Below are 22,545 nucleotides of genomic sequence, written 5' to 3'. Positions count from 1 at the left end.
TTTAAAATAGAGATTAAGGTCTCACTCTGCTGACCAAGCTGGTCTCAAACTCCTGAGCTCAAGGAGTTTGCCTTGACCTCCCAAAGTGCTGGGATTACAGGTGTGAGCCACCACGCCCAGCAGACATTTTTCTCTTGTGCCTGGGTTTATGGTGATTGTATACATGTGTGTCTGGCTCCCAGAGGGTGGGGACGGAGTGATACAAATTTTTGTGCCTCCACAGGGAACTTGCACGTGACCTAAATTCAATGACAAATTGGGGTTTGATTGAAAATGTGGAGGGGTGGAAATTTTCAATTCCACTGACCCCAGATGGGAGGATCTGAGCCCCTTTCCTTTAAACACCATCTTTCTCTGCAGCAGCTTTCAGGGCCAATAGTTACCATCACCAGGAATTCCAGACCAGCACAATAAATAGGGGCTGTGGTTTCTCCCTCTTTCTCCTTCAAAAAGTAACAGAAAAAAAATTAGCCGGGCATGGTTGCATGTTCTTGTTGTCCAAGCTACTGAGGAGGCTAAGGTGGGAGGATCACTTGAGCCCGGGAGGTCGAGGCTTCAGGGAGCCATGATCATACCATTGCACTCCAGCCTGGGCAACAGAGTGAGACCCTGTCTCGGAAAAAACAAAAAAACAGTAATGGAATATGGGCCAGGTATGTTGATTTGAACTGGAGTTTTACTGCTTCCCAGCAGTGTGACATTGAGCAAGTGTGGTAACCTCTACGAGCCAAATGGAGCTGGCATCAGCTGCCTCACCAAACAGGATTTACGGGAAAGGCTGGCGTGGAGCTGGGGCCCTGGGAGGCAGGTAGTTAGAATCCGTTTAAAGATTTTGCCTCAATTGCCTCCAGCTGCTGCTGTGCTTACAAGGCACACAAGTGCTCCCCCTCTGATCCCTCAGCAGGCAAAGACCAGACTCTGGAACACACCTACAGTGCTGCCTCTGGCCAGGCCTCTGAGATATGAGTCCAACATGCAGAGAAAGGGGCAAGTCCTTGGTGGGGGGAGGGGGACAGCAATTTCATTACCGCCATTTCAGAGGTGGCAGTATGGGTGGCTGACATACGTAAGTCTGATTGTTTGGACCAGAAGGATCTTCAGGGGTCCAGTCTTCCAGTTTACAGGTGTGGACATTGAGATCCAGGCACCTGATAATACCAGGTTGGCAGGAAAGTCAAATGCCAGAGGCTTCCATGGTCTCTACTTGTGTTTGGAGCAACAGAATTCTGAACAGAGTCAAAGGGATAAGGGGTCTTTCTGGCACAAGCTGGCCCAAGACCAGGCCTTTGACAGAGGCCTCAGACTCTGGGGGGCCCAAAAGCAGCCCTCCCTTGGGCTCAGCCTTCTGGATCCCATGGCCAGAGTAGTAGTTCTGCCGGCTAGGACTTGGTGAGGGGAGCTTTGAAGTCACTAGTTGAAGGTCACCTTCCTGGTCCAGCTCCACCTGGCAATGTTGACTGTGAGGTAGTGGAGGGGAGGGCTGAGAACACAGAAGAGAAAGGTTGCTCCTATTTGGAGTGAATTAGCGTGACTGGGAAAGCAGAGAAGGGAAAGAGGTCAGGTTTTTCCAAATAAAACCCAGCCCTCAGCTGGTGTCTTAGTTTAAGAAAACAGATGAAGAGAGAAACTTTGTTTGTGGCAGAATCAATTACAACTGTCTTTTGTGGCCAGGTGCAGTGGCTCACACCTGTAATCCCAGTGCTTTGCGAGGCCGAGGCGGGAGGATCATTTAAGCTTAGGAGCTGGAGACCAGCCTGGGCAACATAGTGAGATCCCCCCATCTCTATTTTTAATTAAAACAAACAAACAAACCCATCTTTTATATGCAAACAGGCAAAAATGGAACTGTTTCTACTGTGGCTGTTTGACTACTCTAGGGTCTCAGAAAACAACACCCCAAAATGCAGGCCTCAGGAGCAGCTCTCTCTGACCCTCTCCCTCCCTCCTGTCTTTGGCCCCTCACTCTCCTCCGAGGCCAGCCATAGAAACTGGAATCCTTCTTCCTCAAGGCAGGTCATAGAAACCAGAGCCCTTCTCCCCCAAAGCCAGACATCGAACCCAAAAATATTACTCTTTCTCCCACACATTTCTGGGTAAAAACTGGCCATAAATTATCTGACCTACCTTGTTTGCTTGCAGGTCCTAAGACCCCTCCATCCCAGAGAGAGTCCTGCCCCGTACTCAGAAGGAAGGAATGCTGCAGAGAAAGGTCAAGAAGAATCTACACGGACAGGACTTGCTGGGTTTCCCCACTCAGGTTATTGGCCTTCTGGTCCAATCATATTTCTTTTTTCGTGGTTTTTTTTTTTTTTTTTTGAGACGGAGTCTCACTCTGTTGCCCAGGCTGGAGTGCAGTGGCATGATCTCAGCTCACTGCAATCTCTGCCTCTCAGGTTCAAGTGATTCTCCCGCCTCAGCCTCCTGAGTAGCTGGGATTACAGGCGCGCGCCACCATGCCCGATCAATTTTTGTATTTTTAGTAGAGACAGGGGTTTCATTATGTTAGCCAGCCTGGTCTCGAACTCCTGACTTCAAGTGATCCGCCTGCCTCGACCTCCCAAAAGTTCTAGGATTACAGACGTGAGCCACCGCGCCCGGCCCAAAGTGAGATTTCAACTCTCTCTACACCAGCTGGACCTGACAGCGGACTCGCGGAGGCGCAGACGCCGCCGGCGGTCTTAGCTCAAGAATGAAGCAGCCGCACTGGGCTAATGCGCCTTTGGGTTCAGCCCGGCAGGCGAGGGAAGCAAGAGTTCGCTCAGATTGGCTTTTGGGTTTAAGCTAAAGCGTCAGAAACTGACATCCAGGTTTACATGGGGCATCCTGGAGAGGGTCAGCCTCGCAAGCGGCTCTGCTAATCCCCCAGCCCTGATCCCGCTCGCGGGTCCCGGTGGGTCTCACGCCTGTAGCTCCTGCGGAGCTGGGCTTTCAGCGGCGCCCAGAGAAGCACCAGCCGGGCCTGGCCGCCGGGTCCCGGCTCCCGCGGGACGCTGGAGGCGTCGGCGGCCCTGGCCCCGCCTCCTCCCCGGCAAGGCCCAATGGGGCGGCAGGCCCGGCAGCCCCGCCCCGGTGGTGCCCGCGCGGCCAGCGCCCGCCAGGCCCAGCGTTAGCCCGCGGCCAGGCAGCCGGGAGGAGCGGCGCGCGCTCGGACCTCTCCCGCCCTGCTCGTTCGCTCTCCAGCTTGGGATGGCCGGCTACCTGCGGGTCGTGCGCTCGCTCTGCAGAGCCTCAGGCTCGCGGCCGGCCTGGGCGCCGGCGGCCCTGACAGCCCCCACCTCGCAAGAGCAGCCGCGGCGCCACTGTGAGTGCCGCGCGGAGGGTCCAGGCAGGCGCGCGCCCCCAGCTGCGACGTGGCGGCTTCCCAGGCTGGGGCCGGGAAGCACGTCCCGCCAGCCCGCAGCCCGGGGACGGCGGGGTCAGGCGCACAAAGGGCCGCGGGGCAGCTTCGCTCCGCGCTCCCCCGCCCGGCGCTTCCCGGCCGTGCCAGGCGCTGGGGTGGGGACTTGAGGGACGGTGGCAACTGGTGGCCCGGGCGACGGCCAGCTCTGCGCGGGCGGGGGCTCGGGGCTGCCGCGCGCCCCTAGGTATTTCGGGAGGGGGTCCTGAGAGTGTCCCGGACCCGAAGGGTGGCCTGCCCGCCCTGCGCCCCTGGAACGAGACGAGCACCCGTGGGGGGCTGGAGCACCCCGCGCGCTCCCCTGGCGAGAGGGAGGGTCGTGGCTCGGCCCCTGCTCAGACAAAGGCTGGGAGGCGGGAGACATGCACTTCCCCTTCCTTTTCAGCCAGGCGCGCGCTGATACCAGGCCCACGTCAGCTATTTTTGGAGCCTTTTACACGACAGCTGGAGGAGCGTCCTTTTTAATTTTCCCCTTTTGTTTGGCCGCCCCCACCCCCACCCCTTCGCCTTCATCGCTGCACTTGAGGCTCCATCCTGGGGCCTCTCCTTGACTTGACCTGCCTTGGCAGGCACATGCCCTCCCTGCCTGGCTCACTCGCCGCAGAGACCTGGCAGCCCGCGCAAAATGTCACTTTGCGGAATCGTTCCCACGGCTTCTGGGTACCCTTAGTTCCCTGCTTAGGAGGGAAGACAGTAGTCGGGTCGTAATAAGCAAGACTTAGCCCGAGCCTCCGTTGCCAACGCAGGCTGCCTTGCTTGGCGTGTGGGCATCGGCCTGCCCCCTCACCCTGGCTACCCAACACAGCTACAAAAGGCAGGGAACAATGTAGGTCCCTTGGCCCTGCCTAATGCCTGTTGCCATGGAAACCCCTATCCTAATCTGGCCAGGAGCCCCTTGCAGTGAGCCAGGAGAGTGAGGAAGAGGGGATGGGGCCCGCTGGCCCTGACCTGGCCAGAGGAGGTAATGGTTAACCGGATTGTGGGAGCAGCTGACTAGAGCCGGGGGGGTAGGGAGGCTTGGGCCCCAGTCCTACCTTCCCTGCCAAGGAGAAAGGGGCATGTCTGCTTTTGTACCTCTGGGAATCTACCTCAGGGATCTGCCCAACAACTCCCAGGTTCCAAGTGCCCCAGGACCCAAAGATTCCCATATAGCACACCACCTTCAGCAAAAATATGGTGGAAGTTAGCCACATTCTTTAATTCTCCCTTTTTTTCTGCCTTGATGGTAAAAAAAAAAAAAAGAAACAAACAACCCGAAAAACACACACAAACAGGAACACAAAGCGCCTTTTAAGGGTCCTGAATTTGGATACAGAAAAAGCAGTCAGTTGCAGGCCCTTCTAGAAGTCCCCATGTGGGTTGGTTATGAATGGGGAAATTGCTTGGTGTTGGAGTTGGACATCAGACTCTACAGTTGCGACTCTGCCAGCTTGTTACCTGGCAACGCAGCTGGAGACAGAATACTTGGCATTCCCCTTGATGACAAGGAAAGAATATTTTGGGGCTAAAAGAGCCCCGTGTCTTTGCTGCCTGGTAATTCCTGCACGCATCTTTTCCTATTTTGCAACGCCATAGGCTTCCAGCGACTGCTGGTGATGTTTCTGGTAAGTTAGAGCTTGGGGCAGTGCGGACCAGTTCTGTGAACGGCTCAGTGGCAGAATTACTTATCTAGCCTTCCTTCACTCCTAACCCAGAAACTTCTTAATTCTTGCCCCTTAAGTGTGCAGATCTTTCTGCCACGTCAGATAAGGCCCTAGCTGCCCTGCCAGAGCTGATTGGGGTGGTTGTGTTTAGGCCTAGTAGGTACTGAGGAAAAGCCTCTTTGGAATGGCTGAGGCCTGCTCCCACATCTTCTGTGTGAAGTTGAGGGCCCTTGGGCTGGTTCCATTCAGGGTATGAGGTGCTGGAAACTGCTCTCAGATTACTGGAAGCCAGGGTCTGTGGCCTTCCCTGGGGTTTATACTCTGTAAACCCATGTTAAAAATACCAGCAGATTGCAAATATTAGTACACTGTAGGTTGTAAGCTTCTTCAGGGCATGGGGCCTATTGCTGGAGAGAGATGCCACCCGTGTACATCTGGTGCAGGCTGCTGGTAAGAACTCACTGGCCCCTGTGTGGCAATGCATACCAGATGGGTGAGAGGGGAGGAAACACATTCAGTGAAACAGAAGGTGAGGGCAGGGCAGCCCTGACCACAGATGGAGTTGACTTCAACTTGACCTTTATTTATGTCTTTGACAAAAGTAGTATACTCCTACTTTGTGCCAGACACCATGCCGGGTGCTGGGGATAGAGCTGGGAATAAAACCAGCAGAGACTCTTTCAAAACCCTTAGGAGCTCAAATTCTGATGTGGGAGGGGGCAGACAGTAAGCAAGATAGATGTTGACTAGTATGATATATGGGTACAAGAGCTAAGGAAGGCCAGGCACTGTGGCTTACACCTGTAATCCCAGAATTTTGGGGGGCTGAGGTGGGAGGATTGCTTGAGGCTGGGAGCTCCAGACCAGCCTGGGCAATATAGTGAGACCCCATCTCTACAAAAATAAAAAATAAAATTAGCCAGGCACGATGGTGCATGTCTGTGGTCTTAGCTACTCAGGAGGATCATTTGAGCCCAGGAGGTCAAGGCTGCAGTGAGGTACAATTGTGCCACTGCACTCTAGCCTGGGTGACAAAGCAAGACCCTGCCTCCCCCTTCTCCCCCCAAAAAGAGAAGAGCTAAGGAGAAACAGGCAAGAAAGGTGTGTGCACAAAAGTTTGTATAGGGCAGCCAGAAAAGTCCTCACTGAAGGAATCGCTGAGGAGGGGAGGAAGCAGGCCATTTTCGGTATTGGGGGAAGAGGGACTCGCAGGTGCCAAGGGCATGATGGAAGAGCAGAGAGGATGGTGCGAAGGCTGGCTCAGCAGGCACCAGGTGGAGTGACAGGATGAGGTTCGGCAGTGGGGTCTGTAGAGGGCTCACAGGCCATTTTTGAGAGCTTTCGCTTTTACTTTGCAGGGTTTTGAGAGGAGTATCGTTACCTGATTTCCATCTTATCGGGAGCATTCTAGCTTCAGGGACCTGGCAAGAGAGGATGATGGCTTGGACCTGGGTGGTGGCGCTGGGGATGGTGAAGAAGTGGTTGGATTCTGGATATATTTTGAAGGAGGAGCCAGTAGTGGGGAAAGGTTCCAATTCAGGCGATTTTACATAAAAATCTAGATACGCAGCAGGCACTCACTTATGGCAAGGGTGGGCTTGTCTGAGGGTGGCTTCTGGTTTTGGTGGTTTGGATGTGAGAGAAGGGAAGGAATGAAGGATGACACCAAGGAGTCTACTAGAGTTTGTTCCAAAATGGCTGTTCTGGCCGCGTGCGGTGGCTCCCAGGACTTTGGGAGGCCGAAGCAGGCGGATCAGTTGGGGCCAGGAGTTCGAGACCTGCCTGGCCACCATGGTGAAACCCGGTCTCTACTAAAAATACAAAAATTAGCTGGGTGTGGTGGCAGGCGCCTGTAGTCCCAGCTACTCAGGGGCTGAGGCAGGAGAATTGCCTGAACCCAGGAGGTGGAGCTTGCAGTGAGCCGAGATCACGCCACTGCCCTCCAGTGTAGGCGACAGAGTGAGACTCTGTCTCAATACATACATACATACATACATACATACATGCATGCATACATACATACATACATACATAAAATATACAAAGTTGCTGTCCTGCCTTCTTGAGCCCCCAGGAATTGGAACCTTTCCCCACTCTCTGATCTTTTGCTGGGACATGCTGACTGAGCAGCCTTTCTGCTGAGAGCATGGGTAGGAATGTGGAGGGAGCAGTTATGCCTGGGGCTGGCTGCCTGCGGCTGGACCTCTAGCCTCCTGCTGGGAGCAGCAAGAAGCCAGGGATGTGTTTTGAAATCCTTACTTGGTATTGGGTGCTAGGAGCCCCAGACAGGGAGGAGAGTCAGCCTAACGTGCCTCTGGTGACTGGTGTAATTCCATCCTGCACTCTCGCCAAGAGGACAGTGTTTGTGCAATGCATCAGCTGAAGATTCGTGGTGGCTGTCACTTCGGAGGTTTTCAGGGAGGCCTAGCTGCTGCTCTGTGTATTTCAGGTAGCTTGTCACCACTTATCTCTCAGAGAAGGGCAGACCATGGCTGTATCTCCACCATACAGGCTGAACAGCAGACAGGGGTCTCAAACTCCAGTGCCCTGGGCCACACTGGAGGGCACTTGGCTGTCATGGAGTGAAGGGAGAGGCCGCCTTCAGCCCAGCCCATCCTTGCCATGAGTGAGTGCCTGCTGCATTTCTAGATTTTTATATAAAATCTCCTGATTTTTTTTGACTGGTTTAAATTTTTATTATTTTGGTAAAAAACGTATAAAACTTACCATCTTAGTCATTGTTCAGTGTACAGTATTGTTAAGTACATTCGCACTGTTGTGCAGACATTACCACCATCCATCACCAGAACTTTGTCACCTTGCAAAACCGAAACTCTCTACCCATGAAACAATACCTCCCCACTTCCCGTCCCCAGTCCCTGGCAGCCACCTTTTTACTTTCTGTTTCTATGAATTTGACTATTCTAGGTACCTCATGTAAGTAGAAGCATATAGTATTTGTCTTTTGTGACTGGTTTATTTCACTTAGTTAGCATAATGCCCCCCAGGTTCATCCACTTTGTAGCAGGTGTCAGAATTTCCCTTCTTTTCAAGGCTGAATCATATTCCATTGTATGTAGATAACAGTAGTCCCCCTTATCCTTGGAGGATGCATTTCAAGATCCCCAGTGGATACCTGAAACTGCAAAGCCTGTAGATACTATGTTTTTTTCCTATACATACAGATCTATGATAAAGTTTAATTTATGAATTAGGAACAGTAAGAGATTAGCAATAATAACTAGTAATAAAATAGAACAATTATAACAATATACTGTAATGAAAGTTACATGAATGTGATCTCTTAAAATATCTTACTGTACTGTACTCACCTATTTTCAGACTATGGTTGACTGTGGGTAACTGACACCACAGGTAACTGACGTCATGGAAATAAAACCTTTGATAAGGGGGGACTGTATCACATTGTCTTTATCCATTCATCTGTGATGGACACGTGGGTTGCTTCTATCTTTTGCTGTTGTGAACATTGCTGCTATGAATGTGGGCATACATATATCTCTTTCAGACCCCGCTTTCGATATTTTTGGATGTATATACAGAAGCAGAATTGCTGGATCATATAGTAATTCTTGTCCTTTTCTTTTCTTTTTTTTTTTCGAGACGGAGTCTTGCTCTCTTTCGCCCATGCTGGAGTGCAGTGGCGCGATCTCAGCTCACTGCAAGCTCCGCCTCCCGGGTTCATGCCATTCTCCTGCCTCAGCCTCCCCAGTAGCTGGGACTACAGGCGCCTGCCACCACGCCTGGCTAATTTTTTGTATTTTTAGTAGAGTCAGGGTTTCACTGTGTTAGCCAGGATGGTCTCGATCTTCTGACCTCGTGATCCACCCGCCTCAGCCTTCCACAGTGCTGGGATTACAGGTGCGAGCCACCGTGCCCGGCAGTAATTCTTTTCCTTTTAGCTAAGGAACACCCATACTGTTTTCCACAGCAGCTGCACCATTTCACATTCCCACCAACAGGGCACAAGAGTTCCAATTTCTCCACATCCTTGCTAGCACTTTATTTTCTGTTTTGTTTTTCTTTTCCTGATAGTAGCTCTCTTAGTGGTTGTGAGGGGATAGTGGGGTGATATCTCATTATGGTTTTGATTTGCATTTCCCTGATGATTAGTGATGTTGAGCATCTTTTCATGTGCTTGTTGGCCATTTGTATATCATCTTTGGACTTGAAATGTCTATTTAAGTCTTTTGTCCATTATATTTATTTATTTATTTTGAGATGGAGTCTTCCTGTTACCCAGGCTGGAGTGCAGTGGCATGATCTCTGCTCACTGCAACCTCCACCTCCTGGGTTCAAGCAATTCTCCTGCCTCAGCCTCCCAAATAGCTGGGACTACAGGTGTGTGTCACCACACCAGGCTAATTTTTTTTCTATTTTTAGTAGACACAGAGTTTCACCATTGTGGCCAGGCTGGTCTCGAACTCCTGACCTCAAGTGATCTGCCCTCTTCAGCCTTCCAAAGTGCTGGGATTACAGGCATGAGCCACGGTGCCCAGCCAGTCTTCTGTCCATTTTAACGTTGAGTTATTTGTTTTATTGTTGAGATTTACTGATTTTTAAAACTTGGTCACCAATTAAGATTTTTTTAAAAAACCAGTACCTGGAACAAGCAGAACAAGTCTCTGCTGGCCTTGGCTCATGTTGCTGTTCTCAGTTCCCCTGGGATGTTTGCTTCCAGGGAGGCCTGGGCACTCCTGACTTTGGTGACAGCCCTGCTTGCTCTCTCTCTGTTACCTGTAGGTTTCCCCTTCCACATTCACTGCCTCCGGGCAGGCACTGTTGTGTTTTAGGCATTTCAGTATCCCAGTGGGGTACTGGATAAGTGCTTAGTTAGCACCTGCCGGTGAGTAAATAATCAGGTCCTGTGGTCTCTGAGGGTTTGACACATCAGGTCTTTGATCTTGACCTTGAACTCTCCTAGCCATGCCTGCCTGAAGCCCAACCGTGGAGCCCAGGCTGAGGCTGAAACCTGAAGAACTGGCCCCAAGTGAGTCTCTCCTTAGGGCTCCTGATTATGATAGTTCATTTTTTTTTTTTTTTAACAAATTTGATTAGCTGTCCTCAAATTAACTCATAGGAGATGCTCCCCAGAACTAAACTAGCTCTGCAACAGCTCAACAGACTTTCCGCAGGTTCTGCAGCTCTTTCCACTCAAGCTTCAGAAAAAAGTGAAGGAATATTGTAGATTGGGTTCAAAATCCCCATCGCGTCTTGGGAAAGGCAGTAGAGCCAGCAGCCAGCCACCTTTTGTTCTCTAGGGAATGGAATAGTCCAAGGCTGTGTTTGTGTTCTGCTTCTCTACATCTGACCCACGGGTCTTCCAGAGGCTGCATTTGGGTCAGGGACCTGGGCTCTATCTTGCCTCTGATGCAGACCACACTCTCTGAGTCTCATTATTCCCCCTAAATGATCTCTAAGATTATTTTTAGATTAAAAAAAAAAAACAAACTCTTTGCATATCTTTGGAAAGTCAGTTGTTTGAGGTCTGTTAGGCTTTAATCACTTTTGTTTTAAATGTGCCGAGGTGGTTTCTAGGCCTGCTTTTCACAGGTATTCTGTCCCTTGTCAGTTCTTCCCACCCAGTTTTTTTTGTTTGTTTGTTTGTTTTTTTGAGATGGAGTCTCGTTCTGTTGCCCAGGCTGGAGTGCAGTGCCGTGATCTTGGCTTACTGCAACCTCCACCTCCCGGGTTCAAGCGATTCTCCTGCCTCAGCCTCCTCGGTAGCTGGGATTATAGGCACGTGCCACCATGCCTAATTTTTCTATTTTTAGTAGAGATGGGGTTTCACCATGTTGGCCAGGCTGGTCTTGAACTCCTTACCTTGAGTGATCCACCTGCCTCAGCCTCCCAAAGTGCTAGGATTACAGGCATGAGCCATTACACCCAGCCCCAACCCAGTGTTTTCAAATAATCATTCTCTTCCCTTCACCTGATTTGCTGTGTCTAATCTAGAGTGGAGCTGAAGACACATCACCACCTCTCTAAGGACTGTGTGTAACACAAGAGTAATTGGGCTGTAAGTGAGGCTGAGGAGTGCTGCTTTGAGGAAAGGGCACAGCTCTCAGCTGAGCTGGTGAGATTTCCCTGTGACTGAAGTTTTATTAGATCTTGTTCCCTGCTCTGCATTTGCTGCTTCTTCCCAGGCTGTGGGCAGAGGAGCAGGCTGGTGCCCCGGTGCCCCTATCTGCTGCAGGCTGAGGTTCAACAAGCCTTGTCCAAGGCAGCTGTACTGATTCATTGTTAGGTGGCCAGTTCCTGAGTTTTCTTTGAAATTCACTTCCCAGACTGTTGGGTATTCCTGCGAGTCAGACTCTCCTTCAGTAGCGTCCCCTGCCCCCTACCCTCCACTGGTCTCCCTGGACCTCTGATCAGCCCCTCATTGAGTCCTTTGATGCTTCTCTGGTAGGACTGACCCACCTGCGTCGGCTGGGATCAAGGGTTCTGAGTTCCATTCGCAGGTGCTGTAAGCCTGTCCTTCCTGTTGAATAGGGTCAGAGTCCTCGTGACTCTGCTGTTTTCAAGCTCTGTAACCTTGGGCAGTAAGCTGTTAACCTCTCTGAGCCTCAGTTTCCCACACTTAAAATGGAGATAATGGCCAGGCGTGGTGGCTCACGCCTGTAATCCCAGCACTTTGGGAGGCCAAAGTGGGTGGATCACCTGAGGCTAGGAGTTCGAGACCAGCCTGGCCAACATGGCAAAACCCCGTCTCTACTAAAAATACAAAAATTAGCCGGGCCTGGTGGCGTGTGCCTGTAATCCCAGCTACTCAGGAAGCTGAGACAGCAGAATCGCTTGAACCCGGGAGGCAGAGGTTGCAGTGAGCCGAGATCACGCCATTGCATTCCAGCCTGGGTGACAGACCAAAGACTCTGTCTCAAAAAATAAATAAATAAATAAATAAATTAATTAATTAAATAAAATGGAGGTAATGATACCTCCTTGGGGTTGTTTTTGGGATTAAATGGAATCACATTGTACAGCATTGGTACACTGTAAGGCACATAGTAGGCACTCAATACCTATCTATACTATTTCCTTTATCACCACAAGTTAGTTGAGGGCTCTTGGGTTGCACGCAACAGACAAAGTTAGTGACTGGTTAACTTGGAGAGGATTTTATTATGAGCTACACAGCGTAGCTCATAGAATTGCAGGGAAAACTATAAAGAACTAAGTCTTGGACAAAAGTAATATCTTGGCATGGGCCTGTAGCCCCAGCTACTAAGGAGGCTGAGGTGCAAGGATTGCTTGAGCCCCGGAGTCTGAGCCTGGCTTGGGCAACAGAGAGAGATAAAGAGACCCTGACTCTAAACAATAAGTAAATACATAAAAGAGGACCCAGGCCCTCCTTAGGAACTGGATGGCAGGAGCCCCTGGACAACCTCTTACTGATTTGGTGCTGGATGAGGCAGCCGCAGCTAGCCAGTGTTCTTTGTGTTGATCTCCTCTGCCTTCATATTCCAGGGGGAGAGGGTCTGACAGGCCAGACTGGCCCCCACCCTCTTGGCCACTGGTGGGCTGGGCATGTTTTTGGGTAGTTCTACCTAGCCAGATTAAAGTGGGGGTGGGGTGGGGAGTCCAGCCAGCCTGGGCAACAGGGCAAGACTCCATCTCTACAAAAAAATTTTAAAATTAGGCTGGCACGGTGGCTCACGCCTGTAATCCCAGCACTTTGCGGGGGTCAAGGCAGGTGGATCACTTGAGGTCAGGAGTTTGAGACCAGCCTGGCCAACATGGTGAAACCCTGTCTCTACTAAAAATACAAAAAATTAGCCAGGTGTTGTGGTGCACACCTGAAATCCCCGCTACTTGGGAGGCTGAGGCCCGAGAATCACTTGAACTCGGGAGGCGGAGGTTGCAGTGGGCTGAGATCATGCCACTGCACTCCCACCCTGGGGGACAATAGCGAAACTTCGTCTCAGAAAAAAAAAAAATTAAAAATAGCTGGGTGTGGTGGCATGCGCCTGTAGTCCCAGCTACTTGGGAGGCTGAGGTCAGAGGATCACTTGAAGCCAGGAAGTCAATGCTGCAGTAAGCTATGATGGCATCAGTGCATTCCAGCCTGACCAATGGAACAGGACCCTGCCAAGAAAGAGAGAGAGAAAGGGAGGAAGGAACGAAAGGAAGGAAGGAAGGAAAGAAAGGAAAGGAAGGAAAGAAAGGAAAGGAAGTAAGTAAGGATGGATGGATCCAGGTGCTCTAAACCAGCAGTTCCCAAAGTTTTTGGCACCAGGGGCCAGTTTCATGGAAGACAATTTTTCCACGGGTGGCAGGGTGGTGGGCAGCGGGGATGGTTTTGGGATGAGTCAAGTGCATTACATTTATTGTGCACTTTATTTCTATTATTATTACATTGTAATATATAATGAAAAAATTATATAGCTCACCATAATGTACAATCGGGGGGTCCTGAGCTTGCTTTCCTGCAACTAGACAGTCCCATCTGGAGGTGCTGGAAGACAGTGACAGATCATCAGGCATTAGATTCTCATAAGGAGTATGCAACCTAGATCCCTCGTGTGCGCAGTTCCCAGGCATGAGCTCAGGTGGTAGTAGTGCTCACTCACCTGCAGCTCTCCTCCTGCTGTGTGGCCCAGTTCCCAACAGTCCGTGGACCTGCACTAAAGGCTGTGGCCTGGTCTGCTGACCTCTCTCCAGAGCCCACGGTACTAGTCCATGGCCTGGGAGTTGGGGACCCCTGCTCTAAGCAGTGAGGGAGCTGATTTGCAGACGGGGGAGTGGACACCGGGCAGCTGGAGCCCTGGCTTTCTGCCACTGTCTCCTGGTGAAGGGCGGGCCTGGCTGGGAGGAGAGGGCCCCCCTCCAGCCTCCCCAGGGGCATGATGCGCTGTGTGTCCCTGCTTCTAGATGCCGACAAAAGGATCAAGGTGGCGAAGCCCGTGGTGGAGATGGATGGTGATGAGATGACCCGTATTATCTGGCAGTTCATCAAGGAGAAGGTAGTGCCCCCTCCTGAAGTGGGTGGCTCTCCAGGTGGGCTGGCCAGGGATTGTTCTGTCCCACAGGGTCTTCTGGACTGCAGGTCCCTAGGACCCCCCCGTTGTCCTGGTAGGCAGCAGCAGCTCTGTTTCTCTCCCTCTGTCTACCCTTCTTTCACATCTGGTCCACTAATTGTTCAGAAGTCGTCAGGCGGGGGCCTGTCCCCAGCAGTCCGTGTTGTGATGGTGCCAGATCCCACACGTTCTGTCAACTTTGAGAAGCTTCAAGGTTAATCCTGTATCATTTCCATCTTGATCCCCTACGTTTTGCCTCACTTCTTGAAAAGGAGTGAAAAGGGAACAGGGCTGGTGTGTAGGGCAGTGACCCAGCCTGCAGTTGTGACGAGCCACCATGGCAAAGGGGTCCCAGAGTGGCCGCTTGGCTTCTCCAAAGTTGCCGTGGTCTATGTATGTCCAGGAGAGCATGTAGTCCTTGTGAAGGCCCCACACTGTGTGTGCGTTCATGGGACAAAGGTTGAGAACTGTCACTTCCAACTGTAAGATCTCAAAGCACTTGAGAAGAGGAAACCAGTTGTATAGAGAAATCTAGATGTACTTGGGGTTGGGGTTTGGCTGAGTTGATGGGCCATGTGAGGGGGGCACACAGGCACAGTGGAGGAAGAACCCTCCAAAAGACTGCGGCCTGGCCTGCCAACCTCTCTCCAAAGCCCCAGCCTCTGCCAGCTCTGGCCAGGCCCCACTGAGAAATGGCTGACTCCAGCTTTCTGCTGCGCCCCTCCACTGGCCTTCACTCATCCCTGTTTTGACTGACTGTCCCCTGCCATGGCCTGCAGACTTCTTATCCTGCCCTTTGTTGTCATGTCCCTGAGTCACTGGGGTGACGCCTTGCTCTGGCCCTCTGTCCCCAGCTCATCCTGCCCCACGTGGACATCCAGCTAAAGTATTTTGACCTCGGGCTCCCAAACCGTGACCAGACTGATGACCAGGTCACCATTGACTCTGCACTGGCCACCCAGAAGTACAGTGTGGCTGTCAAGTGTGCCACCATCACCCCTGATGAGGCCCGTGTGGAAGGTGCGAGGGTGTGGAGGTGGGCGGGCCAGGGAGGGTCACAGGCTTCTCCCACCGGCCTCTCCAGACTTGGGGTGGGGCAGTTGGCCATGTCACTCATCTCGGGACTGGGAGGTTGGGAGGCTCCAGAGCTGGGGCTTTCCTGAGGCCAACTGCACCTGAGGCCAGTCTCCCTGTGTGTGCCTGGTGGACAGTGGGGCCTCAGAGGTCACCTTTGATGAGGCTGGGGCAGGCGTGGGTAAGGGGCTGGCCTCAGGTTCCACGGTTAGGGCACAGCAGAGCTGAGAACAGAATCCATGTCTTCCATCTCCCAGGCCAGTGGTGTTTCTGCTTCACTCTGGCTCTGACAGTGGTAGGTGTCATCGGTGACAGGGCTGAGGAGGAGGAGGAGGAGGAAGGTAATGCTGATGTGGTCACAGTAAGGATGGCTTCTTTGGGCAGTAGTCCATTCTGGCGTGGACAGTCTTGCAGGCAGGTATGCAGAGAGATTGTGCAGAGGAGTGCTGTGTGTAAGGCCTGTGTCCTTCAGAGCCTCAGCAGCCTCTGGGGAACATTGCTGTTGCCCTCCTGCCACTGGCTTGGCCTTGCAGGTCTGCCTCTGTCCCCATGGTCATGCAGGGTCACTGAGAGGTGCCCCCACCAGGCCTAGACTGGCTTCTGGTCCTTGGCTGTTGGGGCCGCTCTCGAGGGTTCCATGAAGTCACAGCAGTGTGTGTGCAGAGGGGCCAGGTTTGGATAATTCGAGAAAGGATGGTTGAGGAGTTTTCTGAGCTCTCTCTTCCTACTTTCCACAGTTGGAGGGAGCTGGCGGAAAGTACTCGAGATACATCTGCAAATTCCCCAGGCCTGCCCCTGTCCTGCAGGTCATGCCTGACCCACAGCACTGGGATCATTTGAGTGTTGAGCTCTTCATTTCACCTGAACCTTGGGAGTTGTGTATCCCCATTTATGGACAAGGCAGGAGAGGGTCACAGCCTTAGGAACTGGGGTGGCGTTGGGGCCAGGACCGGAGCATGTGGAGTGGGCAGTGTGTTGTCAGGCTTCGTCAGACAAGTCCTTCCCCCGGACTGTACTCCCTCCATGTGTGATGTGGGAATCATAATGGCCAACAGAGCACTTAGCATGGACCGGGCACCGTTCTAGGCCCTTTACACACGAGCTCATTTCGTCCTCACGACAACACTTAGGCTGGTTATTTTTCCAGTAATTTTTTTTTACAGCTTTGGTTGAGCCACTTTTGTAAGCCTCACCATTAAAACTGGCAGACTTGCTGGGCATGGTGGCTCACACCTGTAATCCCAGCACTTTGGGAAGCCGAGGCGGGTGGATCACCTGAGGTTGGGAGGTCGAGACCAGCCTGACCAACATGGAGAAACCCCATCTCTCCTAAAAATACAAAATTAGCTTGGTGTGGTGTCACATGCCTGTAATTCCAGCTGCTCGGGAGGCTGAGGCAGGAGAACCGCTTGAACCCAGGAGGCAGAGGTTGTGGTGAGCCGAGATCGCGCCATTGCACTCCAGCCTGGGCAATAGGAGCAAAACTCTGTCTCAAAAAAAAAAAAAAAAAAAAAAAAATTGGCAGACTCCAGAGCCCACACATTTGCACTCTAGACTCTACTGCCTTCCTCATGAAGAATTTTAGGACCCCCGTCTGGCTGTGTTGTTGCTTGGGGTTCAAATTCTGGTTGAAAGATGGCGGCTGCAGTGGGACCACTATTATCTCTGTCCTCACAGAGTTCAAGCTGAAGAAGATGTGGAAAAGTCCCAATGGAACTATCCGGAACATCCTGGGGGGGACTGTCTTCCGGGAGCCCATCATCTGCAAAAACATCCCACGCCTAGTCCCTGGCTGGACCAAGCCCATCACCATTGGCAGGCACGCCCATGGCGACCAGGTAGGCCAGGGTGGAGAGGGGATCCACTGACCTGGGCACCCCCCGACTGGAGCTCCTCGCCTAGCCATCCTCTTGTCTCTGCAGTACAAGGCCACAGACTTTGTGGCAGACCGGGCCGGCACTTTCAAAATGGTCTTCACCCCAAAAGATGGCAGTGGTGTCAAGGAGTGGGAAGTGTACAACTTCCCCGCAGGCGGCGTGGGCATGGGCATGTACAACACCGACGAGGTGAGGCTGGCTTGGGCATCCTGGGCCCCTCCTCTCCCAGCTTGTCTCTTCATCTCTGTCTCGTGGCTTTCCTTTCTTCTGTAATGGCCTCATTCTTAGGCCACAAAGAGGCAGAAATGGCCACCAGGGCTGGGCATGGTGGCTGACACTTGTAATCCCGGCATTTTGGGAGGCCAAGGCAGGATTGCTTGAGACCAGAAGTTTGAGACCAGCCTGGGCAACAGTGAGACCCCATCTCTTGAAACAAAAAGAAAAGAAAAGAAAAGAAAAGAAATGGCCACGAGCAGCTCCAGGCGTACTCCTGCCTGCTTGGCTACCCTATCAGAAGAGAATGCCTCTTTATCCCCAGTTCCAGCTCCAATGCCAGGCTGAGTCACATGACCACCTCTGAGCCAATCACAGAGGCCCTGGGGAGAAAGGCTTCTGATTGGATAAGCCAGGGACACACTGTCAACCCCAGCGCTAGGCCTGGGAATTAGCCCTGCCCCAGCCACATGTAGTCTAAGGCGGTGCTTTCCAAAAAAAAGTTGTTTCCAAAAAAAAAAAAAAAAAGGCGGTGTTTTCCAAAAAAAAAAAAAAGGCGGTGTTTTACAAAGCAAAGTTGAGAGGGAGAGGCTGGGCCAGCAGAAACATCGTGTGCACTGCACGGAGGCTGGTGTTAAACAGTCGCGTGGGCGGCGGGGTACCGTTCCTGGAGAGCTGGGCCTTGCCCTGGGAGGTGGGAGGTTGCCGGCAATCGCCAGGCTAGGGCACCACGCCAGGGCCCTGTCTCTCCCCCTGCAGTCCATCTCAGGTTTTGCGCACAGCTGCTTCCAGTATGCCATCCAGAAGAAATGGCCGCTGTACATGAGCACCAAGAACACCATACTGAAAGCCTACGATGGGCGTTTCAAGGACATCTTCCAGGAGATCTTTGACAAGTAAAGCCTCATCCATGTACTCTGTGGCCTTTCTTCCCTTCCCCCCATGCTGTTCCCATCCTACCCTGGGAAGGTCGCTATTAGAGTGCATTTGGCTCAGCTCCGAGGCTCAGGGAGGGATCCCCAACCTGTCAGCCTTCTGCCCTCTCCCCATAACAGACCTTTTTACTCCCAGGCACTATAAGACCGACTTCGACAAGAATAAGATCTGGTATGAGCACCGGCTCATTGATGACATGGTGGCTCAGGTCCTCAAGTCTTCGGGTGGCTTTGTGTGGGCCTGCAAGAACTATGACGGAGATGTGCAGTCAGACATCCTGGCCCAGGGTACGCTGGGAGGACGCTGCTCCCTGTGGGGGTGGACTGTTGGTCTTCTCTGGCTGGAGGGATTTTCAGACCCTTTTGGTAGAAAACTCTAGTGGAGCAGGACTCATTGCAGGGTCCTCTGTGGACAGCAGGGGGCAGGAGCTCCCTGGCATCTGAGTGAGAGAGGATCACAAATTAGGTTTGGACTGGTGTATGACTGAGGCTGCTCTTAGAGAGAAAGGAGGGCACAGGAATTCCAGGGCTAGGTTGACAGCCCTAAGGTTGCTCCAGTCCATGATGGAGCCTCATGACTCTTTGGTTCCAGTAGGAAAATGGGATCAAGCGGGACTGGAGGTTCTTTAAACTACAGCGAATGCATTTTGCATAGTGAACCTAATGGATGGAAGAGAATGTTGGGGAAGCCTGCAAACCCCCAAGCCCTAGGGTGTCCTAAAAGACAAATCAGATTGCAGTAAAAAGTATAGGTGATGAGGTCAGGAGTTTGAGACCAGCGTGGCCAACATGACGAAACCCCGTCTCTACTAAAAATGCAAAAAAATTTAGCTGGGCATGGAGGCGGGCACAGTCATGGACACCTGTAATCCCAGCTACTTGAGAGGCTGAGGCAGGAGAATCTCTTGAACCCAGGAGGTGGAGGTTGCAGTGAGCCGAGATTGCGCCATTGCACTCCAGCCTGGGCAACAAGGGTGAAACTCCGTCTCCAAAAAAAATAAAAAATAAAAAATAAAGTATAGGTGAGACCATTAGAGAAGAACAGCGAGAAATGGGCCAATTGTGTTGGGAACAAGAGCAGGAAAGGTGGTAGGTGTGGGAAACAGGCAGGACATAGAGAGTGAAAGAGAAACCTAAGCTTACCAGGGCAGCTCCTGGTATGGGGAAAAGGGAAGCCCAGGACGGGTTCTGATGAAAAGCAGAGTCTTGTTACTTTGTGTAAACCTTTGGCTTTACTTTGGAAAGTTCAGTGGGGATCCTCTCACCGAACAATTCCCATCTAGGATAGAAGGATGAAACGCCATAGCAGATGAGGCAGAGGCATGAAAATGAACCTTAAGTGTCTAAGGAATGGTGTGAAGGTGCAGGTAAAATGGAGAAGGGATTGCTTACAGCCAAAATTCTTAGAATTCATAGACAAAGCATTTTCCTGTAGATGTTGTCCATGTTTTCTTTCTTCAATCCTTATTTTGGTGTCATGGGGGTGCCTTTGAAGCCCTGGAGTCCTTGACAATAGAAAAGCTTGCTGGAGTTGACATGTGGATTTGGGAGCATTCAGAAATTAATCAAAAAGCTTGAAAGTGGCCTAAGAGAGTAGCTGCAAAAGTGATTGTTGGGAAATAGCTGACCACAGCTTTATTGTTTTCCTTGAATGTGCCTCCGGGTCACGAGCCAGGCTGGGTGGCAGGCTGTGGGGGACCACAGGACTCTGTGGCCTCTTGGGCCCTGTGGGCCACAGGCTGTGGGGCGCCTGGAGCTGGTGACACAGATGGATGTTAATGTGCTGGTGATAGCCACCCTCCAGTGCCCTCCAGCCCTGTGCTGGGCCCTGGAGACCCACAGGAGGGTGAAGAGACCTGGAACAGTCCCTGTCCTCCCAGTTGCAGCTGGGGGAGGCTGAGTAGAGCCACGAACTATGGCAGCTACAATATTGGGTTGTAGAGGGCAGCAGGGCTCAGCTGGGTGGCCCCAGGAGAGGCGAGGCCCTGAGAGAAAGGCTTTCTACCCTCCAGGCTTTGGCTCCCTTGGCCTGATGACGTCCGTCCTGGTCTGCCCTGATGGGAAGACGATTGAGGCTGAGGCCGCTCATGGGACCGTCACCCGCCACTATCGGGAGCACCAGAAGGTGAGTGCAGGGCATGGGGCCTCACAATGCCCCTCTACCCCAGGGGCCTAAAGCCCACTGGGCTGAGGGCTGGAAGGACGAGCCTGACCCACCAGCCCAGGGGCGGGCAGCTGTATCTGGGCAGCCTCCTCACTAGCTGGCTCGGCTCTTGATCTCCCTGCAACCCCCGTCCCCAGGGCCGGCCCACCAGCACCAACCCCATCGCCAGCATCTTTGCCTGGACACGTGGCCTGGAGCACCGGGGGAAGCTGGATGGGAACCAAGACCTCATCAGGTGAGCATGGAGGGAGAGGCCGGAGCTGCCCAGGACAGGCTCTGGGTCCTGCCCTTGCACAGATGGGGTCTCATTCTGCCCCATCCCCATAGGTTTGCCCAGATGCTGGAGAAGGTGTGCGTGGAGACGGTGGAGAGTGGAGCCATGACCAAGGACCTGGCGGGCTGCATTCACGGCCTCAGCAAGTGCGTGGCCTGGGGTGGTAGGCAGACCCTGGGGCCATGTGGGAGGAAGCCAGGGGACCCCTCCTAAAGTCCCCCTCATGAGTCAGCTTAGCTGCAAGGGGGCCTGGGGCAGGACATGTCCACAGCCCTGAGAGACTGCTCAGGCCAGCCTCTGTAGACCAGGTCTAGTGAGTTCCTCCCCATCCCTGAGGCTGGCTACTCAGAGCTCCTTCCGACCCTGCCCACACCCCTTTCCCAGCTTCTCTCAGGAGAGCAGTTACCTGGCAAGACAGACCCTGCGGGTGCCTGCCGAATCTCGGTGGCCTCATGGTAGGGGGCTATAGCTGGCCTCTGGCCTGTAGTCTGGGTGGCAGGAGATGGCTGTTCTGATGCCCAAGCTCAGGCTGTTCCCTGGAAGGGCCTGGCTGATGGCCTTGGCAAGGCCTGGAGCCACCCCTGATGTGAGTGGTGCTCTCTCTGCAGTGTGAAGCTGAACGAGCACTTCCTGAACACCACGGACTTCCTCGACACCATCAAGAGCAACCTGGACAGAGCCCTGGGCAGGCAGTAGGGGGAGGCGCCACCCATGGCTGCAGTGGAGGGGCCAGGGCTGAGCCGGCGGGTCCTCCTGAGCGCGGCAGAGGGTGAGCCTCACAGCCCCTCTCTGGAGGCCTTTCTAGGGGATGTTTTTTTATAAGCCAGATGTTTTTAAAAGCATATGTGTGTTTCCCCTCATGGTGACGTGAGGCAGGAGCAGTGCGTTTTACCTCAGCCAGTCAGTATGTTTTGCATACTGTAATTTATATTGCCCTTGGAACACATGGTGCCATATTTAGCTACTAAAAAGCTCTTCACAAAATTGTCTGCTGTGTTTGTCCCTGAGGGGAGGAGGTAGTGGGACCCTGAGGCAGAGGCCCTGCTAGAGCTGGCAGGTTCCCCTGGGGCAGACCAGAGCACCTCAGGAAGGGGCTGCCACGGCAGGGAAGGGACCAGGCAGCCCTGGGAGCCCGCATTCCACAGGGGCCCACTGCGGAGTTCTCGGACACTCAGGGCACAGGCCTGTGGGTTCCCTGGAATTTTCTAGCATGATCCAGTTTCTGTGTCCAGTTCTCCATTCTGAGAGTCAATCAGTTCCTGATAGGTTGTCATTGATTTTTTTCTTCGTTGGTTTTAACCTTCTAAACATCTCCAGGCCACTTTCTTAGCCTTTTTCTAGGTACTAAAAAGAGGTCCTACCCACACCTGCCTCACACTTCTCCTTTCCAAGGCTGCCTGAGTTTGGAGGGGCTTGGGTGTGTGTGAACAAGGGCCCTGCATTGTCTAGGCCTGCAGTTCCCAGGCTTGGGTTCACTTTCACCATGCATTGGCAAAACTAGAAAAGTAAGCTTGTGACAAATTGTTCTCGGCCGGGCACAGTGGCGCACGCCTATAATCCCTGTACTTTGGGAGGCTGAGGTGGGTGGATCACTTGAGGCCAGGAGTTCGAGACCAGCCTGGCCAACATGGTGAAACCCCATCTCTACTCAAAATACAAAAATTAGCCAGGCGTGGTGATGCGCACCTGCAGTCCCAGCTACTCGGGAGGCTGAGGCAGGAAAATGGCTTGAACCTGGGAGGCAGAGGTTGCAGTGAGCCGAGACTGCACCACTGCACTCCAGCCTGGGTGACAGAGCAAGACTCTGTCTCAAAAAAAAAAAAAAAAAAAAAAAAAAAAAAATTGCTCTATGCAAGTTTTTTAGCCCCATGTAAAAAGGAAAAATAAAAGTTGCTCTAAAGCTACATATAATCAAAAGGACTGTCCTCTG

At 52.5% G+C, this 22,545-nt stretch overlaps 1 protein-coding gene and 1 long non-coding RNA gene across 4 annotated transcripts in view, besides 12 other annotated features; one reads left to right on the top strand and one right to left on the bottom strand.

Annotated features, from left to right (window-relative positions):
* The window catches only part of IDH2-DT (IDH2 divergent transcript), a 31,441-nt gene extending 27,996 nt beyond the window's left edge, over positions 1-3,445 (bottom strand). Inside the window, exons 1-2 of the long non-coding RNA NR_149130.1 lie at positions 3,199-3,445; positions 2,125-2,197 (exon numbers count right to left, since the gene is read on the bottom strand). This is a non-coding gene — a long non-coding RNA (IDH2 divergent transcript). The remainder of the gene's footprint in view (positions 1-2,124; positions 2,198-3,198) is intronic.
* Positions 2,899-3,358: a silencer, noted in NCBI's record as "silent region_6813". NCBI's record gives its function as "represses an Ori minimal core promoter by ATAC-STARR-seq in GM12878 lymphoblastoid cells {active_cell/tissue: GM12878}" and the evidence as "EXISTENCE:reporter gene assay evidence [ECO:0000049][PMID:35858748]".
* Positions 2,899-3,827: a biological region, named in NCBI's record as "H3K27ac-H3K4me1 hESC enhancer GRCh37_chr15:90644982-90645836".
* Positions 2,973-3,827: an enhancer, noted in NCBI's record as "H3K27ac-H3K4me1 hESC enhancer chr15:90644982-90645836 (GRCh37/hg19 assembly coordinates)". NCBI's record gives its function as "activates a minimal SCP1, AML or CMV promoter by ChIP-STARR-seq in naive H9 embryonic stem cells {active_cell/tissue: H9 hESC(naive)}" and the evidence as "EXISTENCE:reporter gene assay evidence [ECO:0000049][PMID:30033119]".
* Positions 3,109-22,532, top strand: IDH2 (isocitrate dehydrogenase (NADP(+)) 2). 3 transcript variants are annotated; one of them, NM_002168.4, is made up of 11 exons: positions 3,109-3,301; positions 13,933-14,024; positions 14,933-15,098; positions 16,830-16,990; positions 17,075-17,218; positions 18,002-18,138; positions 18,314-18,465; positions 20,190-20,302; positions 20,479-20,576; positions 20,669-20,761; positions 21,224-22,532. In NM_002168.4, exons 1-11 carry the CDS (start codon positions 3,187-3,189, stop codon positions 21,309-21,311), a joined length of 1,359 nt encoding a protein of 452 aa, NP_002159.2. In that variant the 5' UTR covers positions 3,109-3,186; the 3' UTR covers positions 21,312-22,532. The 3 variants fall into 3 exon arrangements, with proteins under 3 accessions (NP_002159.2, NP_001277043.1, NP_001276839.1); NM_001289910.1 differs by lacking the exon at positions 3,109-3,301 and adding an exon at positions 4,956-5,001 and having other exon boundaries at positions 21,224-21,599; NM_001290114.2 differs by lacking the exons at positions 13,933-14,024; positions 14,933-15,098.
* Positions 3,679-3,748: a silencer, noted in NCBI's record as "silent region_6812". NCBI's record gives its function as "represses an Ori minimal core promoter by ATAC-STARR-seq in GM12878 lymphoblastoid cells {active_cell/tissue: GM12878}" and the evidence as "EXISTENCE:reporter gene assay evidence [ECO:0000049][PMID:35858748]".
* Positions 3,828-4,683: an enhancer, noted in NCBI's record as "H3K27ac-H3K4me1 hESC enhancer chr15:90644126-90644981 (GRCh37/hg19 assembly coordinates)". NCBI's record gives its function as "activates a minimal SCP1, AML or CMV promoter by ChIP-STARR-seq in naive H9 embryonic stem cells {active_cell/tissue: H9 hESC(naive)}" and the evidence as "EXISTENCE:reporter gene assay evidence [ECO:0000049][PMID:30033119]".
* Positions 4,239-4,328: a silencer, noted in NCBI's record as "silent region_6811". NCBI's record gives its function as "represses an Ori minimal core promoter by ATAC-STARR-seq in GM12878 lymphoblastoid cells {active_cell/tissue: GM12878}" and the evidence as "EXISTENCE:reporter gene assay evidence [ECO:0000049][PMID:35858748]".
* Positions 4,389-4,438: a silencer, noted in NCBI's record as "silent region_6810". NCBI's record gives its function as "represses an Ori minimal core promoter by ATAC-STARR-seq in GM12878 lymphoblastoid cells {active_cell/tissue: GM12878}" and the evidence as "EXISTENCE:reporter gene assay evidence [ECO:0000049][PMID:35858748]".
* Positions 9,627-10,151: an enhancer, noted in NCBI's record as "NANOG hESC enhancer chr15:90638658-90639182 (GRCh37/hg19 assembly coordinates)". NCBI's record gives its function as "activates a minimal SCP1, AML or CMV promoter by ChIP-STARR-seq in primed H9 embryonic stem cells {active_cell/tissue: H9 hESC(primed)}" and the evidence as "EXISTENCE:reporter gene assay evidence [ECO:0000049][PMID:30033119]".
* Positions 13,933-14,433: an enhancer, noted in NCBI's record as "H3K27ac hESC enhancer chr15:90634376-90634876 (GRCh37/hg19 assembly coordinates)". NCBI's record gives its function as "activates a minimal SCP1, AML or CMV promoter by ChIP-STARR-seq in primed H9 embryonic stem cells {active_cell/tissue: H9 hESC(primed)}" and the evidence as "EXISTENCE:reporter gene assay evidence [ECO:0000049][PMID:30033119]".
* Positions 17,579-18,492: an enhancer, noted in NCBI's record as "H3K4me1 hESC enhancer chr15:90630317-90631230 (GRCh37/hg19 assembly coordinates)". NCBI's record gives its function as "activates a minimal SCP1, AML or CMV promoter by ChIP-STARR-seq in primed H9 embryonic stem cells {active_cell/tissue: H9 hESC(primed)}" and the evidence as "EXISTENCE:reporter gene assay evidence [ECO:0000049][PMID:30033119]".
* Positions 20,598-21,098: an enhancer, noted in NCBI's record as "H3K4me1 hESC enhancer chr15:90627711-90628211 (GRCh37/hg19 assembly coordinates)". NCBI's record gives its function as "activates a minimal SCP1, AML or CMV promoter by ChIP-STARR-seq in naive H9 embryonic stem cells {active_cell/tissue: H9 hESC(naive)}" and the evidence as "EXISTENCE:reporter gene assay evidence [ECO:0000049][PMID:30033119]".
* Positions 21,099-21,599: an enhancer, noted in NCBI's record as "H3K4me1 hESC enhancer chr15:90627210-90627710 (GRCh37/hg19 assembly coordinates)". NCBI's record gives its function as "activates a minimal SCP1, AML or CMV promoter by ChIP-STARR-seq in naive H9 embryonic stem cells {active_cell/tissue: H9 hESC(naive)}" and the evidence as "EXISTENCE:reporter gene assay evidence [ECO:0000049][PMID:30033119]".

The sequence above is a fragment of the Homo sapiens genome, chromosome 15, assembly GCF_000001405.40.
Source record: "Homo sapiens chromosome 15, GRCh38.p14 Primary Assembly".
Taxonomy (NCBI): domain Eukaryota; kingdom Metazoa; phylum Chordata; class Mammalia; order Primates; family Hominidae; genus Homo; species Homo sapiens.
The sequence above is the reverse complement of the archived record's forward strand: the minus strand, read 5'-3'. Positions and strand labels throughout refer to the sequence as shown.

Bases quoted from the DNA above. Each gene is read 5' to 3' on its own strand.
- IDH2 (NM_002168.4), top strand. From the start codon at position 3,187: ATGGCCGGCTACCTGCGGGTCGTGCGCTCGCTCTGCAGAGCCTCAGGC. The intron at 3,302-13,932 runs GTGAGTGCCGCG...CCCTGCTTCTAG, and splicing joins AGAGCAGCCGCGGCGCCACT to ATGCCGACAAAAGGATCAAG. The intron at 16,991-17,074 runs GTAGGCCAGGGT...TTGTCTCTGCAG, and splicing joins GGCACGCCCATGGCGACCAG to TACAAGGCCACAGACTTTGT.